This window comes from Homo sapiens, chromosome 13, assembly GCF_000001405.40.
Source record: "Homo sapiens chromosome 13, GRCh38.p14 Primary Assembly".
In the NCBI taxonomy this organism is placed as follows: domain Eukaryota; kingdom Metazoa; phylum Chordata; class Mammalia; order Primates; family Hominidae; genus Homo; species Homo sapiens.
The window spans coordinates 98,645,906-98,671,781 of record NC_000013.11 but is presented as its reverse complement, the minus strand read 5'-3'; the positions used below and the strand labels follow the sequence as shown (position 1 = coordinate 98,671,781).

The window sequence follows — 25,876 nt, the reverse complement described above, 5'->3', positions numbered from 1 at the left end:
CCATTGTGCTGATGCTCCAGTGGCCCTTTCAAACTGGAAACTCATGTCCTTTGATTGTGGGACATTTTTATGAATTTTTCATTTTTAATTTTCTCCCTTCCACTTCCTCTGTTCTCTCTGGACTCCTGTTATTTAGAGGTTAGTCCTCCTTGACCAGCTCTCTAATTTTCTTATCCTTTCTCTCCTACTTCTTTTTCTCACTTTTTTTTTTTTTTTTTTTTGAGACAGTCTAACTCTATCTTCCAGGCTGGAGTACAGTGGCATGATCTCGGCTCACTGCAAGCTCCACCTCCCAGGTTCAAGCCATTCTCCTGCCTCAGCCTCCCGAGTAGCTGGGATTACAGGTGCTTGCCAACGCACCCAGCTAATTTTTTGTATTTTTAGTAGAGACAGGGTTTCACCATGTTGGCCAAGCTGGTCTCGAACTCCTGACCTTAAGAGATCCACCTGCCTTGGCCTCCCAAAGTGCTGGGATTACAGGTGTGAGCCACCGTGCCCAGCCTCTACTTTGAGATTGCTTCAGCTATGCTCTAAGCTCTCTCATGTATTTTTTACTTCCTTCATCAAGTCTTCAATCCAAAGGGCTTTTTAATTACCTGAATTGTTATTGATTATAGTATCCAGCTTGTACTTCTTGATTACAGTGTCTTCTCTTAGAAGTTTCAGACAGTTGACATACGGATTTTGAAGTTTTTTTACCCTACGTAATCTCTATTTTCCCCAAGTTGCCTTTTTTTCTGATGTGCTTGTTTTTTGGTATGTTTTTCAAATAGCAGATCTCATTCGATGTCTTATGACCCTTGGCTGTCTGCTCTATGTTTAAGAGTAGGGGTAGACAAAGGAATATAAATCATTCTATTATAAGGACACCTGCACACATATGTTCATCGCAGCACTATTCACAATAGCAAAGACAGGGAATCAACCCAAATGCCCATGAATGATACACTGGATAAAGAAAATGTGGTCCATACTGTGAACCCAGAACATCTGAGACAGGCCTCAATTAATTTAGAAAGTTTATTTTGCCAAGGTTGAGGACGCGCCTGTGACGCAGCCTCAGGAGGTCCTGATAACATGCGCCCAAGACGGTCAAGGCACAGCTTGGTTTTATACATTTAGGGAGACATGAGGCATCAATGATATAGGTAAGAAGTACATTGGTTCCATCTGGAAAGGCGGGACAACTTGAAGCGAAGGCAGGAAGACTCGAAGCAGGGAGGGAGCGTCCAGGTCACAGATAAGAGAGGGCATTGTCTTTGGACTAGGGCGCTGTGTCTTAAGTCCCACCGGCTTCTCCATGAGACCCACACAGGCTTTGCCTGAGTTTCGCTCCTGCCTCTGGACGAGGTTACTGTGCTCAGTGGTTTGCCCTTAACAACTCAGGCGTCCCCTTGCGCTTTTAGATTTAGGCCTTAAAAATTAGCATGTAATTATGGAAATCACTCAGTCACTTGATTATGACCTCAAAGGCAGGGCTCTTAGTATCCAAATGAAATATTGGGAATTGAAAAATATATCTTAGAATGAAGCAAATTGCCAAATTCCAGTAAAACTCTGAAGATTGCAGTGCCTTCTATCGGTTTTAATCTATGAACCAAACATTTCCAAGGATGGATGACCCAGATTTAGCATAATAGTTCTGCTAGGGAACACAGCCATCAATTACTACCCCTCTCTGAATAAGCAGGGCTCTCATTCTCATTACACTGTAAAAATGATTAAGTAGTGGCCTCCATGAGAAATGTGAAATGTTTTTCAATTAAAAGATAAATTTGAGGGAAATGATTTTATTTATAGATGATAATAACCATATTAGTCAAATTAATGAATTTGTGTTCAACAGGAGTCCAATAAATCATATTTCCATATTGCAAGAATTATTCTGACTTTCCTCACTGTACAGATTTGCACATATTACAATGGTTAGAACTGGGACTTTTAGGACCAAATGAGATGAAAGATCACTATTACAACAAAGAACCAGTTATAAGAATAACAGTTGCTGCCATTTATCCAGCCCTCCTCACGCCTGACCCATATGCCTTCATGCACGTGGTCTCCCCAGTAGCCCTACAGGATTGCCTCTGTTATTGCCTCACTTTTCAGATGGAGCCCAGGTTCTGCTAAATGACAGGCCACATTTTGGCCATTATGCTCTTCATCCTAAGGTTTCACTTATTTAAAACTAAATCCAAGATTTGATTCTTAGAAGGGCTATAATTCAGTTGTAATTAATAAGGACCCAGATTACAAAGTCGAGCATGAGACTGGAAAAGAAGAATATTCGACAACGAAGACAGATTTTCCCTCAATCAACTTGTAAAGTTAACACACTCCATATAAAAATACTGGAAGCTTTTGTTTCTTCAATTGATTGATTTCATTTTGGAACTAGATAATTCTAAGTTTACAGGGACAAGTAGACATGGAAAAATGTCAGGAAAACTAAAAAGAAGAGCGTCGAGGAGAGACGACTGTATGAGGCATCAAGGATGGTGGAGAGTGTGATGTTTCGTCCTCTCTCAAGCTAACAAGTTACCCTGCACAGTTTCATGATGCCAGTAGAAGACATGAGATTCCTGGGGAAAGCCACGTGTCCGCATTATCAACATTTTCTTGTGTGGGTTTCCCAGCCCCTGATTCCCATAAGGTGACATAGAATGGGCCAGGGGACACCGGCATGTACTGTGTATTACACTAAGGGAAGGAGCTCTGAGCCTAGGAAAGCCAAATCTTTTACGGTGGGCATAGGCGTGCCTGTCCTTCACTTCAGGGAGCCACCATCTCTATCTTTCAAGGCTGTTTGCCATCTAAATATCCTCATAAAGACAGTCTGGACCAAAGGCATCTTCAGCTCACAAGATGTGGAAAACTGCAAGAGACCCAAAGACAATGGTCTACATCCTCTTTACTTAAAACAGGAAATACAGGTGTATGAAAAGACAAGTAAGCAAATGGAATGGAAGATAAAGATCCAAATGAACTGCAATCATATGGGAATTTAGAATTCGATAAAGCTGTCATATCAAATTGGTGGGAGAAAACATGGACTTTTCAACAAACGATGATAGGAAAGTAGGATAGTTAACCTGGAGCAAAATGAAGTTAGATCCATAGGTCACACTGCACTCAGAATAAGTTCCAAATGAAGCAAAGATTTAAATATTTAAAAAATGAAATACTTTGGAATTATATACGTCAAAGTAATAATTGTGTATACCATACCACTGGGAAACAGTGAAAGTTTGACAGGGGTAATGCTTAGTTTTATGTGTCAACTTGGCTGGGTTAAATATTTGCTGAAACACCAGAATGTGGCCGTGAAGGTCTTTTTTATATGAGCTAAACATTTAAATCAGCAGACTTTGAGCAAAGTAGATTATCCTTCCTAATGGGGGAGGGGGGCCATCCAATCAGCAGAAGGCCTGAAGAGAAAGACTAAGGTCCGCTGAGGAAAAAGGAAATCCTACCTTCAGACTGTCTTCAGACACAAGCTGCAACATCTCCTCTTCCCTGGGCCACCAACCTGCCAGCTCTGCAAATCTTGGACTCAACAGCTTCCACAGTTGCAGGAGCCACTTAAACTAAATCAGTCTCTGTCTCTGTGCACGCGCACACACACACGCACATGGACACACACACGCACACATGCACACATCCTATTGGTTCTGTTTCTCTGGAGAACCTTGACTAATACAATGGGGCACAGGATGTATCTCAAAGCCTATCCCTACAATTAATTTATTAATTGCAATGGGAAAAAAGGGAACTTTGTAGTGGAGAGACCGGGAGGGTACTGTCTTACCTGAGTGATCAGCAGTAATGGGACACGCTGACATCACATGCCTCCTAATGCATTGCACTGAGAAGGATCCAACATCATTTATGTAGAAACCCTGCCACAAATGAACAACCTGATTCTAATCAAGAAAGCTGATCATAATCACTAGGAAACAAAGATAAAATGGGGAAATAATCTACAAAGCACATGGCCTGTACCCCTACAAAATGCCAATGTCGTGAAAGACAAATATATATATATATATATAATTGGAGACCAAAACGAAAAGGCTGAGGAACTGGTCTTGATAAAGGAAAGGAAAGACACATGACAACCAAATACAAGTCACAATCCTGGGCTAGATCCTGGATCAGAAAGAAATGTTCTAAAGGACATTACTGGACAGTTGGTTAGATAATAGAAGAGTGTTGTTTTTTGTTTTTTTGTTTTGAGACAAAGTCTCGCTTTGTCACCCAGGCCGGAGTGCAACGGTGCGATCTCGGCTCACTGCAACCTCCGCTTCCCGAGTTCAAGCAGTTCTCCTGCCTCAGCCTCCCAAGTAGTTGGGATTACAGGCATGCGCCACCACACCGGGCTAATTTTTGTATTTTTAGTAGCGACAGGGTTTCATCATGTTGTCCAGGCTGGCCTGGAACTCCTGACCTTGTGATCTGCCCGCCTCAGCCTCCCAAAGTGCTGGGATTATAGGCATGAGCCACTGCGCCTGGGCTAGTAGAAGAGTGTTATTATTCAATCTCCTGACTCTGACTAATTGTACTCTAGTTAGGTAACAGAATGCCTTTGTTCTTATGAGATACTATACTATGAGAGAGAGAGAAAGAGAAAGAAAGAATGAGAGCAAGAAAGCAAACATGTAACAATGGCTAGAATTGGTGTATTCAGGTAAAGATTGTATGAAATTTGTTGAATTCGTTGTACTATGTTTTAGTAGAACAGGCTGGAGTGCAGTGGCACGATCTCGGCTCCCTGCAACCTCCGCCTCTGGGTTCAAGCAATCCTCCCTGCCTCAGCCTCCTGAGTAGCTGGGATTACAGGTGTCCACCACCATGTCTGGCTAATTTTTGTATTTTTTAGTAGAGACGAGGTTTCGCCATGTTGACCAGGCTGATCTTGAACTCCTGACCTCAGGGGATTGCCTGGCTCGGCCTCCCAAAATGCTGGGATTACAGGCATGAGCCACTGAGCCCAGCCTCATTATTCTAGTCTTGTAATTTTTCTGATGCCTGAGATTTTCTTCAGGGTAAAAATTTTGAATGAAAAATGAAAACGTCATCGTAAATTGTTAAATCAAATATTAACAGCATGCTTTGGAAAGACAGACGTAAAAGGATTTCCAATTCATTTAATTCTATGGCAAATATTTCTGAGCATCTCTTCCAGGCATATAATCAAGATGAAGTAAGATATTGTAGCAGTGAGCTTGCCCCCTCCCCATTACCTGCTCTGGCATCTCATGGGGTCCTCAGTCCCATTAACTGATGTCATCAGTGTCAGTTCCAAACCAGGTGTTATCTGGCTTGCTACAAGAGCTATTTTTTAAAATGCCTGTACCTATGATGTATGTTTCTTCCTTTATCTGTTTATTCCAAAGATTTCTTGAATTCCAGTGTATTTTGCGTTAACAGTCTGACCAAGCCTGCTTCTACACTTAATCAATATGGCAGCTGTGCCCTTGCCACAGGGTTTTCAGAGAAAGCCAATACAGGAGCAGAACCTTCTCAATCTAGAGAGTGGGGCTCAGCCAGCCAACAGCCACAGGAAGGGGCCATGCAGTGAGACCAAGGCTTAGACTCTGAGAGATGGAAAGTTCTTTCAGAGAACCTGACAATGGACAGTAGGGGCAGAGCCATGAGCGCAAAGCTTCAAAGGTAGACTTAGGGCATGAGACGAGATCCCAGTGCTAGAGGGACCAAGGCCTCTGGACCAAAGAACTCAGACCAGGAGCAGGACAAGAGGAGGTCCAGGTGCTAAAATGCTAGTACCAACCAGGGCCCTGGGCTCAAAAGAGAAATGCAGCTGTCCCTACCTTTAGAAGAAAAGGAGATTAGTGGAGGGTAAGCTGTAAGACTAATGTCACAAGCTTTTGAGCTCACAACTTCTCCAGCTATTTTGTTTACCCCTTGACCTTTGCCCTCATTGTTCTTCATTGTCCCCACCCCAACCCCTCCACAGACCAGTCATGGAGAGTGAGGGAGAGTCAGCCTGAAGGTCTTTGTGACCACAGGTGCATCAAATGTTTATTTTGGCCAAATGGGAATGGTTGAGTGTTAAATTCAATATTCAGCTGATGCTGAAGCCAAAAATAATCATCAAAGACTAAACCTCTGGGCTACAAAAATAAACCTGAAATTTCATCAAAAATTATTTATTATTTCAATGTTATCAAGAATTTAAGAAGTCAGTTTTTAAATTTTGACGTTTCAACACAAAAGCAATTTCTTTCGTGGCCACAAAACCACATTTTTGTGAGATTTGTCACTCACTTTCCAATAAAGTCAGTGGGGGAGCAAGATTTCTGGGGGATTACCTTTGCCAGGGCAGGCATTGGGGTTGATCATGTTTACCAAGTTATTAAGCTTCCTTTCTTCTCCAAGTGGCAAGCAACAAAGGCAAAGATGTATTTGTTCTTTAACTCCTGAGCTTACTGATTTGATCAATGGCAAAAATACAAGCTCATCAAAGCAATCCCATAAACTAAGACCTGTGCATTGCTTAAAGAATGTGTTTTCTGGGTGTTTTCATTACACATTAATCTGGAATATTTACTCATATCTGCAAGCAAGTATTCAGGTATAATAATTAACCTGAACAGCATTCATCACTACATTGATTAGACTTAATGGTAACCTAGGTACATGAGGTCAGGATGTCCAAAAAAGCAATGAAGTTTGCTGTCAGACACTCTAAAGGCAATCCTAACCACAAAGCTGAATGACAGACTTTGGCCAAATGCACAGGCTAAATGAAACTTCCTTGCTTCCTTATCTGCTACCAGATGCTTTTCAAGGTTTTCAAAGGTTTCCCGGTCTTTCCACTGAACAGTTTTCAGGAATATGAGAGATACAGAATTCAGACCACATGGCAAATGACTCCCAAGGGTCCCTGGTCACTGCCAGGAACACTTAAGCATCCCTGGGGATGCATGGCTCAAACCCCACAGGTTGCCACATTTGTTCAGTCTGTTGGGGCATACAGAGGCAGAATCTATCCTAAATCCATACCATCTAGAGTAGTGTCCAATGCAGAGTTGGCCATCAATACATTTTTGTTAAAAGGAATCAACAAGTGAATGAATGTATGGTCGGTAGAATGTGGCAATGTTGATATTTCATTTAAGAGAAGACCAGCAGTTATCCACCTTGAAAACATCAGGCAATGACCTGTCTGGAGGCAGAGGATTTGAATTTGTGATTTATTTGCCTTTTTTTTTTGACATTTGATTGTTTTGTTAGAAACCCACCAAATAGATGCCTGAGGCTTTGAGGGAATGTTTTAGAAACAGTAGAACACCCACTCCACTCAGAGCTCCAGAAGCCATAGGGAGGACAGGGGCTGCAGTTCCAGAAAGGACTAGATTGGGAAAAGATGACTTGGAAGGGAAACAAAAGAACATCAACGTGTAGCAGCCGCGACTCCCTGGCAGGTTCCTCCTCTGCGTAGGTGTCAGTGCCCGAGCCACCCGTGGAGCAGGCTTCTTTAGTCACAGTTGAACATCTCTGACTCACCACCTGACATGGGTTGTGCTCGTATTTTCCATTATAGAAACTGTATCTGGTGAGTCAGGACCAGAGAGAAACGTGAGACTTGTGGAGGTGTCAGAGGCATTCGAACCACAGCGACTCCATCTTGAGTGAGGGCTGGAAAATGAGGCTGGGGCTTGCTGGGCTGTTTTCCCAGAGAGTCAGGCATTCTGAGCCTCTAGAGTTTACGGTTAAGGGAACAGATTGATAATACTTACTAGACAGACCCAGACTTGGGAATGTCCAGATATCCAATATCTGGAAAACAAAGGCATTCCTAATTTTGTTTTAAAGTTAATAATATTGATTCTTACAAAATATAGTAATTAAATGAAATTAATCCTTTATCACAAACCCTTGTAGAAGAGCACATCTTCCCATCATCTTTTTTTAGTCATATATATACACACACACGTATACATATATACACACACATATACATATGTGTGTGTATATATATACATACAATGTGTGTATATATATATACATACAATGTGTATATGTATACACATACAATGTGTGTATATATACATTGTATATATATGCATATATAATGTATATATACATAGTATATATATGCATATATATACAATGTATATATACGCATATATATACAATGTATATATATACGTATATATAAACAACGTATATATACATGCTTGTACCTAGGGCAGACGCGCTCTTCCTCTTACTTTCCGGAATGCCCTACTCTGTCTATGGAGTAGCCTGTTCTTTCACCACTTTACTTTCTTATTTATTTAATTATTTATTTATTTTGAGATGGAGTCTCACTCTGTCACCAGGCTGGAGTGCAGTGGCACGATTTTTGCTGTGCACTGCAGACTCACCCATCATTCTTTCTTTCGAGAGATAAAAGAACCCTCTCTTGGGATCTGGATCAGGACCCCTTTTCTGTAACAGAGGGTAGGCGTTTAGGCTCTGTGGGGAGAAGGAAAGGTGATGTAAGCCCTCACAGGTCCCCACCTTGGCCAGAGAAGTGTTCCCTAGCATGAATGAGGACCCCCAGCCCAGGTCTCGCGCTGGGCTGCAGGGAGCATTTGAAGGGGGAAACTGCGCCACTCCTGCTAGTTTTCGTGGGTGATGTCAGTGCCAGGCTTGATCACTGGCAGGTTCCGGGGTCAGCCCTCTGAACCAGTCCCTGATTCCTGAAATCTGGCAAATACAAATTAAAAACAAAGGTGTAATTCTCCCAGCTGAAAAGAAAGGGATGCCCCACCTTTCCCTTTTCTTCCAGAAGTTATTTCTCCATCCTTTTCAAATGTATGTGAATCTTTTTTTTTTCTTTTTTTTTTTTGAAATGGGATCTTGCTCTGTCACCCAAGCTGGAGTGCAGTGGCATGATCTTGGCTCACTGCAACCTCTGCCTCCTGGGTTCAAGCGATTCTTCTGCCTCAGCCTCCCGAGTAGCTGGGATTACAGGCACGCACCACCATACCCGGCTAATTTTTGTATTTTTAGTAGAGACAGGGTTTCACCATGTTAGCCAGGCTGGTCTTGAACTTCTAACCTCAAGTGATCCGCCTGCCCCTCGGCCTCCCAAAGTGCTAGGAGTACAGGCGTGAGCCACCGTGCCTGGCCTATGTGAGTCTTTTTAATGGTTAAATAAGCCAGTCTTACAACTCAGAAATGTTTCCTCGGGGACCCAGGGGGAGCCCCCTCTTTGCAATGGAATCATCCAGGACAGGAGCGTCCCTCCTGTCTCCCACTTTCCTGGGAGGAGAAGAACCTAGAGCATCACCTGACTCCACATTGTAAAATCTGCCTAATGTCAGAGCCATGACACCTTTAGCTGTCACCTGCAATGCTCATCTTGTTCTGGTTTAGATGCTTATTCAATGATAACAGTATCTTCTTCCTCTCTATCTTTCAGGAGAGGTTTTCTGGGCTGGGAGTGGATTTTTAAAAACTTTAATTCTATTTCGCCAACACTTTGTGCAGCACCAGGCATGCAGACTTCATGTCAGGGCCGAGGCCAGAGATGCAAATCTTCTCTGTTAATCAGACAAAGGGGGGCCAGACCCCACGCTCTGGCTTCTTCTCCAGATTCCAAGCCACCGATTTTTCACTCACAGACTTTGTGTTGTGGGCAGAACATGCTCTATCGGCATCAAAATATTGAGCCCAAATCTACAGGAACAGAGTTCCGTAAGTTACCCACGAAGGGCTGTTGCCAGCCCACGTGCTTTGATTGGGTCTCCAGGCTGAGAGGCCAGGTGGGTGGCGAGGTTCCTATGAATTGCACCACTCTGGGTGGCTTCAGATCTCCTGGCTCACTGTCCTCTCACTCCAGCAAGCCAGCTAAATTAAAGCGTCCCTCCCATTGCACAGGACACCAATCACCTGGGCATCTTTCCCTGAGACACACAGCCCGGAGCTATCATGAGCGAGCTGTGTTAGCTTCAACCAGCATCTTCTTCAGAGAGGCCGATCACCTGGGCACATTCACATGCCTGCTTGTTTGCAATGCCCACCAAGACCTCACACTCTGAGAACAGAGCGTTGGAGGCAGAAGAGGAGGACGGAGGAGAGGTGGAGAAGGAAAAAGTGTGCTGGAGCTGGGCACGTAGGTGAGGGCAGCCTGGGGAGAGGCCCTCTCCGGCCTTTATGGGCCAAGCATTGTGAGAGGGCTGGGTAGGGCAGCAAGGATACCAGCATGCAGGGCCAGCGCCCGCCAAGGAAAGTGAGAGAGGGCCGTGCTCTGTCTACACCCACCTGGCGTTCCTTCCCTTTCCAGAGGTGAGACCATTAGATGGGCGTGCCAGCTGCCTTCAGCAGGGCCTTTGGGATTGGGGAATAAGAAGCCCTTCTCCCTGGCCCACTCCCCATTCATGGTCCACAGTCTCTGTTATCGTTCTTCCTTTTTTTTTTTTTTTGATGGAGTTTTGCTCTCGTCACCCAGGCTGGAGTGCAGTGGCACAATCTCTGCTCATTGCAACCTCCGCCTCCCAGGTTCAAGCAATTCTCCTACCCCAGCCTCCTGAGTAGCTGGGACTACAGGCGCCTGCCACCATGCCCGGCTAATTTTTTGTAATTTTTAGTAGAGACGGGGTTTCACCGTATTAGCCAAGATGATCACGATCTCATGACCTCGTGATCCACCCTCCTCAGCCTCCCAAAATGTTGGGATTACAGGCGTAAGCCACCACGCCCGGCCCTGTTATCCTTCTTTAGGACCCCTGTGCAGTAAGATGAAGGTGAGAGGCTGAATATACAGATGGCTCGTGGCCAGATCATACATGAAAATAGAACTCTGACCCCAAAGCTGTAGCAGCCAGCCCAGGACGTGGCCTGATATCTATGAATCAGACCAGTGGGACCCAGGCCACCACATCCAGCCACCAGCCCAGGAAGCCAAACAGTAACCCCTCCAATAGTGGGCCCCAAATGGCCAGGACTCGATTAGTAACTGACCACTTCCCTGATGTTTGTGCCCATTTCTAGCTTAGGATCAGCCAGCTTGCCCCCGACCAATCACGTGGCTGCCCCACTGCTATTCAGCTGCCCCTGGCTTCCCCAGGCAACAGCCTCCAACAGGGCACACCTGAAGCCATCCCTCATGTCAGCGGTAAAGCTCCCCCATTCCCATGCCTGTCTTTGAGTCTCTGCCAAATGCCAGTGATGGTGGCCAGCTCCCCTGCTATGGCAAGCTCTGGATAAATTGCTTTTCCTTGTGCTCCTTTGAGTGGTCTTTGTTGATTCCTTCCGATGCAAGAAACAGCCTCTCTTGCCTAGGAAGAGAGAAGACCCTTCCAGGGTCAAGGCTGGGTGAGAGCAATGTCCTCCCTGCTGCCGAGGTAAATCCGTGTGCCAAGGGTGGCATGGAGCCCTCTCACCTCTAGAACCCTCCACTGCCCGCCCAACCCTCCTGCCACCTCTTCCTGGCCCCTCCTTCCAGCCTGCTCTTCCCAGAGCCAATAATGAGACAGAGGCCTGAGGTGGTTTTCCGATGTTCGGGAGGCACTGCCCAACGTGAATGCTCCAGGCCTTCAGGCATCAGCCTTGTGGGCATCTGGTTGGAGTTTCACAGGAAGTGACCCTCGGGAAATCAAATTAAAGTCTCCAGCAGAACTGACCATGGTGGAGCAGCAGGCAGCATGGCTGGGGCAGTAAGGAGACACTAGGGACCCCACAGAATTAGTAGCACCCTTGGCAACCCCTGGACGGATCAGATGACTGGTAGTAGCAATGATTAGGTACAAAACACGAAGCCTCTCCTCCATGCCAACCACCACCTGTAGGCAAAGACTGAATTGGGGCCCCAGTAGAAACAGTGGGCCCGGCTCACGCCTATAATCCCAACACTTTGTGAGGCTGAGGCAGGAGGATCGTTTGAGCCCAAGGGTTCAAGACCAGCCTGGCAACATGGTGAGACCCTGTCTCTACTAAAAATACAAAAAATTAGCAGGGCATGTTGGTACATGCCTGTAGTCCCAGTTACCCAGGAGGCTGAGGTGGGAGGATCACCTGGGTCCCAGAGGTTGAGGTTGCAATGAGCCAAGATCCTGCCACTATGCTCCAGCCTGGGTGACAGAGCCAGATCCTATCTCAAGAAAAAACAAACAAACAAAGGCAACAGTGAATCAGACCTCAGCGTAGAGTTCTCTATGCCTTCTCAGCTCTTCCTTCAAGGAACGGAGTAACTTTAATATTCAGAGATGTCCCTTGCTTTTGTCCTTGAAGAGCAGCGAGTTGAAAATATTTTTTTATTATGATGAGCCAGTGTACAGTTTTTTCCTTATAAAAAATAACTCCTAGATGAGGTCAAATTCTTTTCTCATTTGAAGCCGTGTGCCCTCATTTGATGTGGAAGTGTTGGAGAGAGCTAGGGAAAGGCTAAACACTAAAGTCTTAGAGAAAAGGCTCCTATCTCACCAAAATGGTTTATCCCGTATTTTGAGAAGGTGTAAATTCAGCCATGTGGGATGTTCTAGGGCAGGGGTCCCCAACGCCCGGGCTGCAGATTGGTACAGGTTGGTGGCCTGTTAGGAACCGGGCAGCACGGCAGGAGGTGAGTGGTGGGCCAGTGAGTGTTCCTGCCTGAGCTCCGCCTCCTGTCAGATCAGCCACCACACTAGATTCTCATAGGAGCTCGGACCCTGTTATGAACTGCGCCTGCAAGGGATCTAGGTTGAGCGCTCCTTATGAGAATCTAATGCCTGATGATCTGAGGTGGAACAGTTTCATCCCAAAACCATCCCCGCCATGGAAAAATTGTCTTCCACGAAACCAGTCCCTGGTGCCAAAAAGGTTGGGGACTGCTGTTCTAGGGTTGTAAAAAAACAACCAGGCCCCAAATGTCCATACCATCAGAGACTGGATTAGACACTGAATGTCCTTGGCAACGCCAGTATTCTTTGTTTTTGTTTGTTTGTTTTAGTTTTTGTTTTAAGACAGAGTCTCACTCTGTCACCCAGGCTGGAGTGCAGTGGTGCAATCTAGGCTTACTGCAACCTCCGCCTCCCGGGTTCAAGTGATTCTCATGCCTCAGTGTCCTGAGTAGCTGGGACTACAGGCACCCACCGCCACACCTGGCTAATTTTTGTATTTTGTTTTTTTTAGTAGAGATGGGGTTTCACCATGTTGGCCAGGCTGGCCTCGAACTCCTGAACTTAGTTAACCTGCCCGCCTCATCCTCCCAAAGTGCTGGGATTACAGGCATGAGCCACCGCGCCTGGACCTTTGTTTGTTTTTGTGTTTGTTGTTATCGTTCACAAAAATTTTGTAGGCCTGACAGAATTAAGGGACTGGGATGAAGAGAAAGGAATCACATGCCAACATGGGGGTTGAGATGTGATCTTGTCGTTAAAACCTGGCTGACAATGGACAAAGAGCCACTCCCTTGCATGGTGACTGGCTGACAATGGACAAAGAGCCACTCCCTTGCATGGTGACGACAGTCATGTGGGCTTAGTCCAAGAAAGTTCTCAAAACAACGCCCGTGTGAATACTTAACCCAATGAACACACTGAGTTTCACTTTCTGGATCTTTTTTGAATTAGGAAAAATGCTCTCAAAAATCTCTCTGAGGAGTACTGCAGAGAGTATTTGCAAACTCCCTCTGTGTTCCAAAGACCTTTCAATATAATTCCGAGGCCCTCTCAGCCGTTCTCAGGTTCGTGGGCAGCCTCACATTTGCGCATTTCACTTTCTCTTCCATTTGTGCGCTTACTCACCTTACGACTTCATATGCATTCCTGAGCCTTATTTTAGCCAACACAGTTTTCAGTGCAATTAAAATTCCATTAAGAAGAAAACACATGCAAGACAGAACTAAAACATGCTTGTCAATGGAGAATGCTAACCATTCAGATCCTGGTGTCCTTTTCATCCCAGGCTCCAAGCAAAAGAAGTGAACCTCCTTTGACCTGGATACCAGCGAATTTCAGAGCACATGTGTTAGCCTAATGATGTTAAGATGCTCCGATAAAAATAATTTACCGGTTGAAGAACAGCAAGTTGAAAATGTTTTTTATTGTGATGAGTCAGAGTACAGTTTTTTTTCCTAACAAAAAATAACTCCTAGACAAAAAATAACTCCTATTCTCATTTAAAGCAGTGTGCCCTCATTTGATCTGGAAATGTCCAAGCGAGCCTGAATGAGTAATGAAGAGCTTGGGGGAAGCACAGGACTCTTCGAGGGCTTCACTGCTTCCTGCAGGGAAAGCAGTTACCTGTCCCAACCCCAGCCTTGCATCTCACTTGCTCTTTTTTTTTTGTTGTTGTTGTTTTTGAGACAGAGTCTCACTCTGTCGTCCAGGCTGGAGTGCAGGGGCGCAATCTCGGCTCACTGCAACCTCCGCCTCTCGGGTTCAAGCGATTCTTCTGGCTCAGCCTCCTGAGTAGCTGGGACTACAGCTGCTTGCCACCATGCCCAGCTAATTTTTTGTTTTTTGTTTTTGTTTTTGTTTTTGAGATTGAGTTTCACTCTTGTCACCCAGGCTAGAGTGCAATGACGCAATCTCGGCTCACTGCAACCTCCACCTCCGGGGTTCAAGCGATTCTCCTGCCTCAGCCTTCCAAGCACCTGGAATTACAGGCACCCGCCACAACCCATTGCTAATTTTTGTATTTTTAGTAGAGACGGGGTTTCACCATGTTGGCCAGGCTGGTCTTGAACTTCTGACCTTAGGTGATCCACCCGCCTCAGCCTCACGAAGTGCTGGGATTACAGGCATAAGCCACTGTGCCCAGCCTAATTTTTGTATTTTTAGTAAAGACGGGGTTTCACCATATTGGCCAGCTGGTCTCAAACTCCTGACCTCGTGATCCACCCGCCTCAACCTCCCAAAGTGCTAGGATTACAGGTGTGAGCCACCGAGCCCAGCCCTCACTTGCTCTTAACCATACTGCAGAAGAATACAATGCGATTTCCAAATGAATGAAGTTGACACTTAAGAGAACCAGCAGATTCACAGCAATGGCTGGCTTAGACCAGCCTGGGGACTCACTATCTAAACGTGCAAAAACCATTGACATCAGATATTTTTTACCAAAGCAGTTTCTCAAGGTCAATTACCTGCCTCAGTTAGCATCATACAAAAACTTATTTTTAAGTTTCCTGTGGCAAAAAGCATACGCCTATCACACTGATATTTCCACATGGCTTGGCCAGAGTTGCTTCCTAGGGCTCTGGGCTCCTCTGCCCCAGGCCCAATCAGAATGCATCTATGGTCTTTCACCTCTGCCTTTGGCTTTAGCTATTACCCTATGAGCTCAGGATCCCACCTCCCTTTTCACCACCTTTGCACACAGAATTTCAGGTCCTTCTCTGCCTGAGGATTCATCATGGCAGTGATTCCCATTTGGCATCACCATCCCACATTTTGCTGCCTCTGAACCTTGTCTGCTGTGAAGACTTTCTTGGCATTCAAGGCTTGCATTTATCCCTGGACTTTGATGTTCAATCCTAGCGTGTACGACTTCTGTAACTAAGCCAACATGGCGGCAAATGCCTGTAGTCCCAGATACTTGGGAGGCTGAAGCTGGAGCATGGCTCGAGGTCAGGAGTTCAAGACCAGCCTGGGCAACATAGACAGACTCCCGCCTCTTTAAAAAAAAAAAAAAAAAAAAAAAAAAAGCCGGCACAGGGGCCCACGCTTGTAATCCCAGCACTTTGGGAGGCTGAGGCGGGTGGATCACTAGGTCAGAAGTTCAAGACCAGCCTGGCCAACACAGTGAAACCCCATCTCTACTAAAAACACAAAAATTAACTGGGCCTGGTGGCGGATGCCTGTAATTCCAGCTACTCGGGAGGCTGAGGCAGGAGAATCACTTGAAAGGTGGAGGTTGCAGTGAGCCGAGATCACACCACTGCACTCCAGCCTGGGCAACAGAGCTAGACTCCAACTCAAAAAAAAAAAAAAACACCCAAGACTCCTACCTCTTTAAAACAACAACAACAACAACAACAACAACAGACTCTGTACTCTAGACTTCCCTGTCCAGCCTCAAGTGTGAGTTCCTACACTCCTGGTCGTGGATCTGCCCAAACTTCCTCCTCCTACTTCTCCCCGTGGTCTTCTATCCTCCAACGTGAACAAAGAGTTCATGGACCAGGTCAGGCCTAGAGGCCTCAAAGTCACTGTTAGAATCCCCAAGAGGCAGCCTCACAAGACTCAGGTGATGATGCCAGCTCTCTCCCTAGTCTAGTGGTTTTCAAAGTGTGGTCCCTGGACCAGCAGCATCAGCAGCCTCTGAGAACAACTTAGAAATGCGCCTTCTCAGGCACTGCCACAGCTGTATTGAATCAAACACTCTGCTTTAACCCTCCACACTTGTGCTTTAACGAGTCTCCAGATGATTCTGATATGGAGAGGGGAAGTGCGCAGGGATTTCAAGGAAGGCTTTCCTGACGTCTGTGTGGTTCAGGCTGTCACCCTGAGAATGCACAGCCCTCAGTTGGCCCCCTGGAGCCACAGCCCTGGAATTTGGGGACTATATCAGGAAGTCACTCAAATACCCCAAAACAAGAGTCAAAGATTTCCTGAAACGGGACCTTCAGGGAGACAAACGGGATATGGCTCAAGCCATCCTGCATCCACACCACTTCCAAGCCCGCATGCTCCACTGGAAGCCATCATCTTCCTCCACTCCAGCAAACAGACCACATTGTAATGATCCCAAGGACCACCTGACGCAGACCTGGATGAGAAAAGTTGATCCAGGAAATCCAGGACTAGGGGTAAGGGCCCTAATTTTATTTGTTTATTTTTTTCAAGATGGAGTCTCACTCTGTCGCCCAGGCTGGAATGCCGTGGCTCGATCTTTGCTCACTGCAACCTCTGCCTCCTGGGTTCAAGCAATTCTTGTGCCTCAGCCTCCAGAGTAGCTGGGATTATAGGCGCCCACCACCACGCCTGGCTAATTTTTGTATTTTTAGTGGAGATGGGGTTTCACCATGTTGGCCAGGCTAGTCTCGAAATCCTGACCTCAGGTAATCCGCCTGCCTTAGCCTCCCAAAGTGCTGGGATTATAGGTGTGAGCCACCGCGCCCGGCTATATGTATTTTAATTTCTGTTTGTCTTTATTTTTTCATATATACGTGTGTGTGTGTGTGTGTGTGTGTGTGTGTGTGTGTGTAGTATGTAGGTATGTATGTACTGAGCTCCAAGATACCTGGAAAGATGTAAATTAGAATTAGTTCTAATGTTCTAATCTCAAGTTAATTAAGTATATTACTGCTACTGACTCATGCTCCAGGCACTGTACTTGGAGTTTCGTGGTTGATCCTCAGAACAACCATGTGTGGAAAATATCTATTGATGGAGGGCTGTGGAATGGTGGAAGAGCTGGCCGGCAGTCGGATCAGCTGGGATATCTGTTGATGGAGGGCTGTGGAATGGGGGGAAGAGCTGGCCGGCAGTCGGATCAGCTGGGATATCTGTTGATGGAGGGCTGTGGAATGGGGGGAAGAGCTGGCCGGCAGTCGGATCAGCTGGGATATCTGTTGATGGAGGGCTGTGGAATGGTGGGAAGAGCTGGCCGGCAGTCGGATCAGTGGGGTATCTGTTGATGGAGGGCTGTGGAATGGTGGAAGAGCTGGCCGGCAGTCGGATCAGTGGGGTGTCTGTTGATGGAGGGCTGTGGAATGGTGGGAAGAGCTGGCCGGCAGTCGGATCAGCTGGGATATCTGTTGATGGAGGGCTGTGGAATGGGGGGAAGAGCTGGCCGGCAGTCGGATCAGCTGGGATATCTGTTGATGGAGGGCTGTGGAATGGGGGGAAGAGCTGGCCGGCAGTCGGATCAGCTGGGATAGCTGTTGATGGAGGGCTGTGGAATGGGGGGAAGAACTGGCCAGCAGTCGGATCAGCTAGGTTTGGGTCTAGTTTGCGGCTAATCACAAACTGTTACATGGGAGATATGTAGTACTGAAATTGGGGGCTTTTGCTGATGGCCAAAAAAACAAAGGTGCTCAATGAATAAATCTTGGTGAAGAGTGGATCCCTCCATTTTACACATAAGGAACAAAAAGCTTTGGAGAGGTCAGCCAGAGGTTCTCAGCACCGGCTGTGCACGAGAGTCACCTGGAGGGTTTTAAATGCCCAATCCCTGGTAATCCCCAGACAGGGCAGCCTGGTTGAAAACCCCTGCGTTAAATATGTTGCAGGCAATCCCATGGCCAGTAGGTGGCAGGGCTGTGACTTGAGCCCAGATCTATTGACGGGAACCCAAGCTCTGGCTTAAGGAGCCAGTTCCTGGAGCTGGAAGTGCAGGTAACACCTCCAGGTCACAGAGCAGATGTACCGTGAGAAGCCTGACAGTAGAGACTGGGCTTCCCTCAACAATACTTGCCACGGAGGGATGGTATTTTCCCACTTGAGAGCCTCCATTTCAGGTTGTGCTGATCACAGGGAGAGAGAGAAAGACTCTTTAGAAACAGAGCAATATGTGAAGCCACTAAGAAGAATCTAAAGGTTTCCTTCTAATTAAAGGGATTACTCTGCCACGTTTAGGAGACAGAAAAATGCTGCCCCCTAACATTCTATGGAGCTGTACACATCACAGTGTACGTCCATACCTACTTCCCAGCTCTGCCACTTCCTAGCTGAGTGTCATTGGGCAAGTTACTTACCCTCTCTGTTTCTCAATTTTCTCATCTGAAAAAGTGGGATAATGATAGTATCTACACCAAAGAGCTTCTGTGATGATCACATGATATGTGAAGCACTCAGAACAGGGACTGGCCCATGGAAAGTGCTCAAGAACATCAATTATTACATTTGGACTTCACAACAACATCCTACAGCTCAATGTCTCACCCCAAGTTAACAGCCAGCAACCCAGAGCTGGCATCAAACCTTCCTAAGTCTGGGTCGAAAGGACCTGTCTGTCTACACCTGCACTGCAAAGGTCCTGTCTTCATCCTCTCTCACCTGGGCCAATCAGTGGCTGCCTACCTTTGTCCCTGTCTCCAGGCCCTTCTTCATCTAATTTATCTATCCTTTTTATTGATATGTTTTTAACTTTTTATTTATTTTTGTTTTTATTTTCATGTATTTTGTTTTATTATAAAAGTAAAATACTTTATTTGTACAGATAAAATTTGAAAATTGTGGGTTAAGAAAAATCCATCAGTAGTCCCACTGAATCTGGCCACAATTCTTTGCTGCAATATGATGCCTTGAGCACACAGTTCTTTACATAGCTGACCTCATTCTATAGAGTGCAGAAGAACCACCTGGAAAACTCATTTAAAGTTCAGATTCCTGGACTCTAGCCCCAAAAGCTCTGATCCAGCAGCCCTATGACTGGAGACCTAGATACTTCTGAGAGCATTGCCTTTGAGAAATCTTCTTGTACAGGGCTGTAATCTCGGCATCATATACATTCTAGTCCTATTTCACTGAACCATTTCACCATAAGCATCTTTCCTTGTTGCCACATGGGCTCCACACTGTAATTTGGCCTTTACAGAGCTTCCGTACATCTTAATAATGTCACAGTGCAGGTGGTATTTTCCTAGCTGACCCAGCTCAAACTCTTCCTCTGGTTTTGTTGATCTCAGATGAAGGGTATGGGATCTGGCAGAAGAAATACAACATTGCATCAAGGGGACGCATAGTCATTTCCCTCCATTGGAACCTTTACATTGAATCTGTTTAAGCTCTCCAGGCAAGTCTGAGTGTGATTAAGCCAAGTAGGGGCTCCGGGGTGGAAAATGGGACCAAGATCTGAGCAGGTACAGTCCACCGAGCAAAGTCAAAGTCTGGAGCGGGAGACTGAAGATTGAAAACATTCCAGAAGCCAGTGGTTGGAGCAGCTGGAAGAAGAAGGCCCAAACCACCAGGGAAGGGACTTGAGTGAGGCGGGTGCCAAGGGCACGGGAGTTGAGGAGACACAGCCTCCTTTGTTTCACAGGGGTCTGCCCCACCCTGCTTACCACATGAGCCTTGACAATCGCTCCAGAGAGTCTGCTTTTGAGAATCTCTTGTAATCTGTTTTACCCTGGAAAAAACTTTTATGTCTACTGATCTGCTGGGGCCCATCTACCTGACCCATTCCTATGACTTAAAAGGCCCTCCCTTTTTCCTAACCAGGTACCCTACTGTCTTGCTTAACTAATATGATTATGTCCTCAGCTGGACTAATGGGGGGGACCAAATCCTTCTAGGGGAGAGGGAGAGACAAACAATCAGGTGTTTCTGAAACCTTATCTCCTCTCTCCATCAGCGATGTCGACCATGAAGGATTGGACAAGACTATATATTTCAGGAGCACCGCTCTGGTATGCAAATCTGTGCACAGAGACCCATGACTGCTGAAAACCAGTTTTAATACCTGGTTTCTGAAAGACTCTTCCAGAAGCAATGTGGGTCTTCATCTTGTTGCTATGGAGGTTGCCAAAGGCCTCCAGCTCAGTTTCCAGAATTCGCAGCGTTAGAGATCCCACCATTCAGACTTATTCAAGTCCTTTCCCATGGGCAAGACTCAACAAAACCAACATGCTCACTCACACATTTACAGTGAAAACAGTCACATCTTCATTTTAGCAGGTCAATAACCTTGGAAAAAAAAATACATTCGGATTGGAGTTGTGCTGTGAATATGAAATTAAAATAGAAGAAGCCAGCTGTTGGAAGAAATATTTTTACCAAGCCATGGTCAGCTAATAAGTTCCCATTCTCCACTATCGAGAGACAGATACTGTTTATCCTGCTTGTGAACCCCTTTCCTTTCTGATTTCTGTGTTTCTGACCAATTCCTTTCTCTTCACCTTTCCCTTCTCAATGCTCCAAGCCAACTCTCAGAACTCAACTCACAAAAACATTGCACCATCATCATCCTTTGCATGGAGTTCGTGCCAATCCTAGTTGCACTTCCTCATCAGAACCTGACTATTTTATGATCATTTCTCAAAGCTTCTCTTCTCAGTCCTTGCTGCTGTCAGTTTCCCCTTCACCAAGTGCTTGGCCTCCTTGTCTAGAACATCCTTGCATGTCTTGGAATTCATGTAATCAAGGAAGAGGAGGCTCGGAAGCATCCGAGCTATGCCACCACACCCCTCGGGATGGCAAGCTTGAGAAACTGGCTTTGCAGGAAGCTTGCTGCAGTGAGAAACAGGCTTTATAGACAGGGCGATTGGCATGAAGGAGCCTTGTGAAGGTAGGAATGTATGTCACAGGCACAGTTTTGGGACAAAGTCCAACTCCGTACGTCCACAGGTGGAGCCGATTCCTGTCAGGTCAGTCTCCATCTAGGCGAAGCCCTTCCAGGAAGGGCACCGAGTTCCAGGGCTCGATGACATCACTGGGGCAGAGCTGCAGGACCAGCCCCTGCCCCTGCTCACTCTCTGTGCCCTTTGCAAACAATGGCCTGCCCCAGGGGACCAGGGTAGAAGCCTCCACCCTGTCTTTGCTTCTCTTATCTCTGAAGTATGGTTTCTCAACCTTGGCACTATTGACACTTGGGGCTGCATAATTCTTGGCTATGTGGGCTACCCTGTGCATTGGAGGCTGTTTAGTAGCACCCCTGGCCTTGACACTAGACGCTTCGTTTATGTCAAGGAAAAATGTCTTCAGACATTGATAAATATCCCTTCTGCGGGGCAAAACCACCCATGGATGAAAACTACGGATACCAAGCTGCCCTCCACTTTCAGAGCAATAAGAAGAGGACACAGGGCCTCTGCTTTCAAGTGGGTGCAGAAAGTAAGACTGGAGCGAGGGGAGGGTTGGAGCCAGCAGGTAAATGCTGTAACAGAGGCTTAGGCAATCCCCTGCCGCTGCATCTCAAACACTTGTTTGTGCAACAAATAATTAAATATGCTATGTGCACAAATCTGCCCATTTGTAGATTCTGGACAATTTCAGAGATACCCTCCTGTCCCCTACCACGAGGCTACTTGCATCTATTATGTTTACCCATGCCAAGTCAAACAGAAGACTCCTCTTTTAAAGTCCTCAAAGCAAAGTTCTCAAAGTCCAAGTTCACCACCAGCATCTTAAGAAGTGTGATTGTTGGCTGGGCGCGGTGGCTCATGCCTATAATCCCAGCACTTTGGGAGGCCGAGGCAGGCAGATCACGAGGTCAGGAGTTCAAGACCAGCCTGGCCAACATGGTGAAACCCTGTCTCTACTAAAAATACAAAAATTAGCTGGGCATGGTGATGCTCACCTGTAATCCCAGCTACTCAGGAGGCTGAGACAGGAGAATCGCTTGAATCCGGGAGGCGGAAGTTGCAATGAGCTGAGATTGCGCCACTGCACTCCAGCCTGGCGACAAAACGAAACTCCATCTCGAAGAAAAAAAAAGAAGAAGAAGTATGATTGTTGTTGTCAATGATGATGTTATTACTGCATAAACAACATTAAGGAAAATTTAAAAAACAAACTGGGCTAGGTATGATGGCTCACACGTGTGATTACAGCCCTTTAGGGGTCTGAGATGGAAGGACTGCTTGAGGCCAGGAGTTTGAGACCAGCCTGGGAAACACAGCAAGACCCTGTCTCTACAAAAAATAAAACAAATTAGCCAAGTGTGGTGGTGTGCTCCTATATTCCCAGCTTCCTGGGAGGCTGAGGCAGGAGAATCCCTTCAGCCCAGGAGTTTGAGGCTGCAGTGAGCTATGATGGTGCCACTGCACTCCAGCCTGGGTGACAGAGCAAGACTCTATCCCTTTAACAAAAACATGACAAATTCTACTGTTATATTATCTCTCCAAATCAAGTGGTTCTCCTTTCTTCATTTCCCTCCAGCCCTTTACCATACGAATACATGCTTTTCTTACACATAAAACTCTTGAGTAGACCCATCTTCAATTTTCAACACAACTTCTCCTGAACATTTATGGGATGATGCATACATGAGGAGTCCTTCTGATGTAGAAAGATATCTTGAGCCAGGCACGGTGACTCACACCTATAATCCCAGCACTTTGGGAGGCTGAGGCAGGAGGATTGCTTGAGCTCCAGGGTTCAAGACCAACCTGGGCCACATACTGAGACCTTGTCTCTACAAAACATCAAAAAAATCAACCAACTGTGGTAGTGCACACGCATAGTCCCAGCTACTCAGGAGGCTGAGATGGAAGGATGGCTTGAGCCCAGGAGGTTGAGGCTGCAGTGAGCTGTAATTGTGCTTCTGCACTCCAGCCTGAGCAAAAGAGTGAGACCTTGTCCCCAAAAAAAAAAAAAAAATTGAATGAAAATCTACGAACAAATGTACATACCTTTTGCAACAATTCATTCCGCTGTGACCTAATATTTACTATAGGGCATGGAGGAAGTCAGTTTCAGTCTGGATTCCTCAGAATTGTCTACCTCACTCTGCTCAATGATTGAACTTTAAACAAGAAGTGACCTTAGGTATCACCCAGAGTTCTCTCACTTTACAGATAAGTTACCTGTGGCCCAGATAAGTTGACTTTTCTGCCAAGAGAATATGAATAGTAGATAACAAGACTGGGAAGAAATCCCAGCCCTCCTGACTCCCTGAAGCTGGTGGCTTCTCTCCACACCCTTCCTTACTGAACACCCATAAAGTTCACTGAAGGAAGCAGAGATCAGAATGTAGCAACGGTATTAGACACCCATAAAGTTCACTGAAGGAAGCAGAGGTCAGAATGTAACAACAGTATTAGAAAGAAGCTGATACAAACACAGTTGATTTTCACAAAATGTTTTTTATTGTTTGTTTGTTTATGAGAGACAAGGTCTCACTTTCTTGCCCAAGCTGAAGTGGAAGACAGATTATAGCTCACTGCAACCTCAAGTGATCCTCTTGCCTCAGTAGCTAGGACTATAGGTGTGAGCTATTGTACCCAGCTAATACACACACACACACACACACACACACACACACACATTTTAATTATTATTTGTAGAGACAAGATGTTGCCCAGGCTGGTCTCAAACTCCTAGCCTCAAGCGATCTTTCCATTTCAGCCCCCCAAAATACTGGGATTACAGATGTGAGCCATCACGCCTATCTGATTTTCACAAAGGGTTTTAATTCAGTTTCCTGTACTGTAAGGGTTCTGGTTCTGGGTGTGTGACATACAGTAGAAACTGCCCTAGATTAAAAGTTAGAAAATATGGGTTAAATCTGATCTCTACTATTAATGAGCCCTAAAACCCAAGATGAATGGCTTAACTTCTCCGATCCTTGGTTTCTTCATCTGAAAAAATGTCAGAAATAATTCCTATCAAGTGTGTATTAAGAATCTGAACAAGTTATATTGTTTGAACCAGTAATCTCCTGCTTCAGGAGTTTTATCAATAAAAAACTCTGGTACCTAGAAATAGTATTATGTACAAAAGCACGTAACTACTCCTCTGCTGGTAATTACCATGTATTGAGCCTCCTATATGATTGCTACTGTGCTAGCTGAGTTATGTAATGGTCTCTAATCTCCATAACAAATCAGAGAGATGAGTATTATAGTGTTTATTTTACAAAGGAGAAAACTGAAGGCCAGGGAGGAAAAATGCCTTGTCCCAAATCACCCAGATGGTGAGTGGTCGGAGCAGAGGTCAAACTCCCATCTGCCTCTCTCAGCCAATTTTCCTCCCATTATGCCTTGTTATTTTTTTTGTAATGGCAAATATTTGGAAACAAACCTAAATAACCAATAATAGGGTTTGATTTAAAAATTCTAGAATGGAATATTTTCAGCTATCAAAACATTGTTTCTTTAAGGTTTATTAATCACTTGGGTTTTTTGTTTGTTTGTTTGTTTGTTTGTTTGTTTGTTTTGAGACAGAGTCTCACTCTGTCACCCAGGCTGGAGTGCAGTGACTCGATCATGGCTCACTACAACCTCCACCTCCTGGGCTCAAGTGATCCTCCCACCTCAGCCTCCCAAGTAACTGGGACTATAGGCATGCGCCACCACACTTGGATAATTTTTAATTTTTTTTTTAGAGACACAGTTTCACCATGTTGTCCAGGCTGGTCTTGAACTCCTGGGCCACCTGGCCTCCTAAAGTGCCAGGATTACAGGCGTGAGCCACCGCGCCTGGCCTTAATTACTTTCAACAAGATGCTTCATGGGCTCTTCTGCCTGATGGAGCTAGAGGGGCACTAAGATAGAAGGGAAGGGTCTCCATGCCCAGGCCTGGGCGGGGAAGGGTGGTGGCAGGAATGGATCACCCACCTGTGTGATGAGGCATTCGCAAAGATACCAGACCAGGGGATCAAAGACCTGAGCAAGTGCAAAGCCAATGAGAACTGAGTGTAAACTCACATGTGAAGGTGTATTAGTTAGAATGTAGGTTTGGTTGCTCTGACAGGGAAACTTCTATTTAACAAGGTGGAAGTTTAATTATCTTGCAGAGACATCCAGGCAGGTTGTCTGGGAATCCTAACATCATCAGAGACCCAGTTTCTTTTCCTTCTGTGACTTACCATTCTCAGCACAGCCTCCATCTCATAGCGCAAGATGACTGCTCCAGTCCCCACATTCTAAAGGAGGAGAAAAGGGGAAGAAAAAAGAACACCCCTTCCCTGCAGGACCACAGCCTGGAAGTTACACGCGTCAGTTCTAGGCACACCCTGTTGGCTAGAATTTGGTCACGATGATGCATTCATGCAAAAGGGTCTTGGAAATATAGTCAGTAGAGCTACCATATGCCAAACCCAGAATCCCAGTTATAGCAAATAAAGGGAGAATGGATGTCAGGGACAACTAGAACAGAGGGCTAAGGCAAGGCAAGCAAGACACGGGTCATTGTCCCGTAACCATCTCTGGGGACTCTGAAGGGGGTGTTAACCACGAAAACACAGCAAAACATCCCCAAGTCCATTTTACATTGCTCTAATTTTCTAGGAATTCTCCTTGTTACATCTGCTTCAATCTCCCCCAACACCACCT

At 45.8% G+C, this 25,876-nt stretch overlaps 1 annotated feature.

Annotated features, from left to right (window-relative positions):
• Positions 18,294–18,413: an enhancer, noted in NCBI's record as "active region_7921". NCBI's record gives its function as "activates an Ori minimal core promoter by ATAC-STARR-seq in GM12878 lymphoblastoid cells {active_cell/tissue: GM12878}" and the evidence as "EXISTENCE:reporter gene assay evidence [ECO:0000049][PMID:35858748]".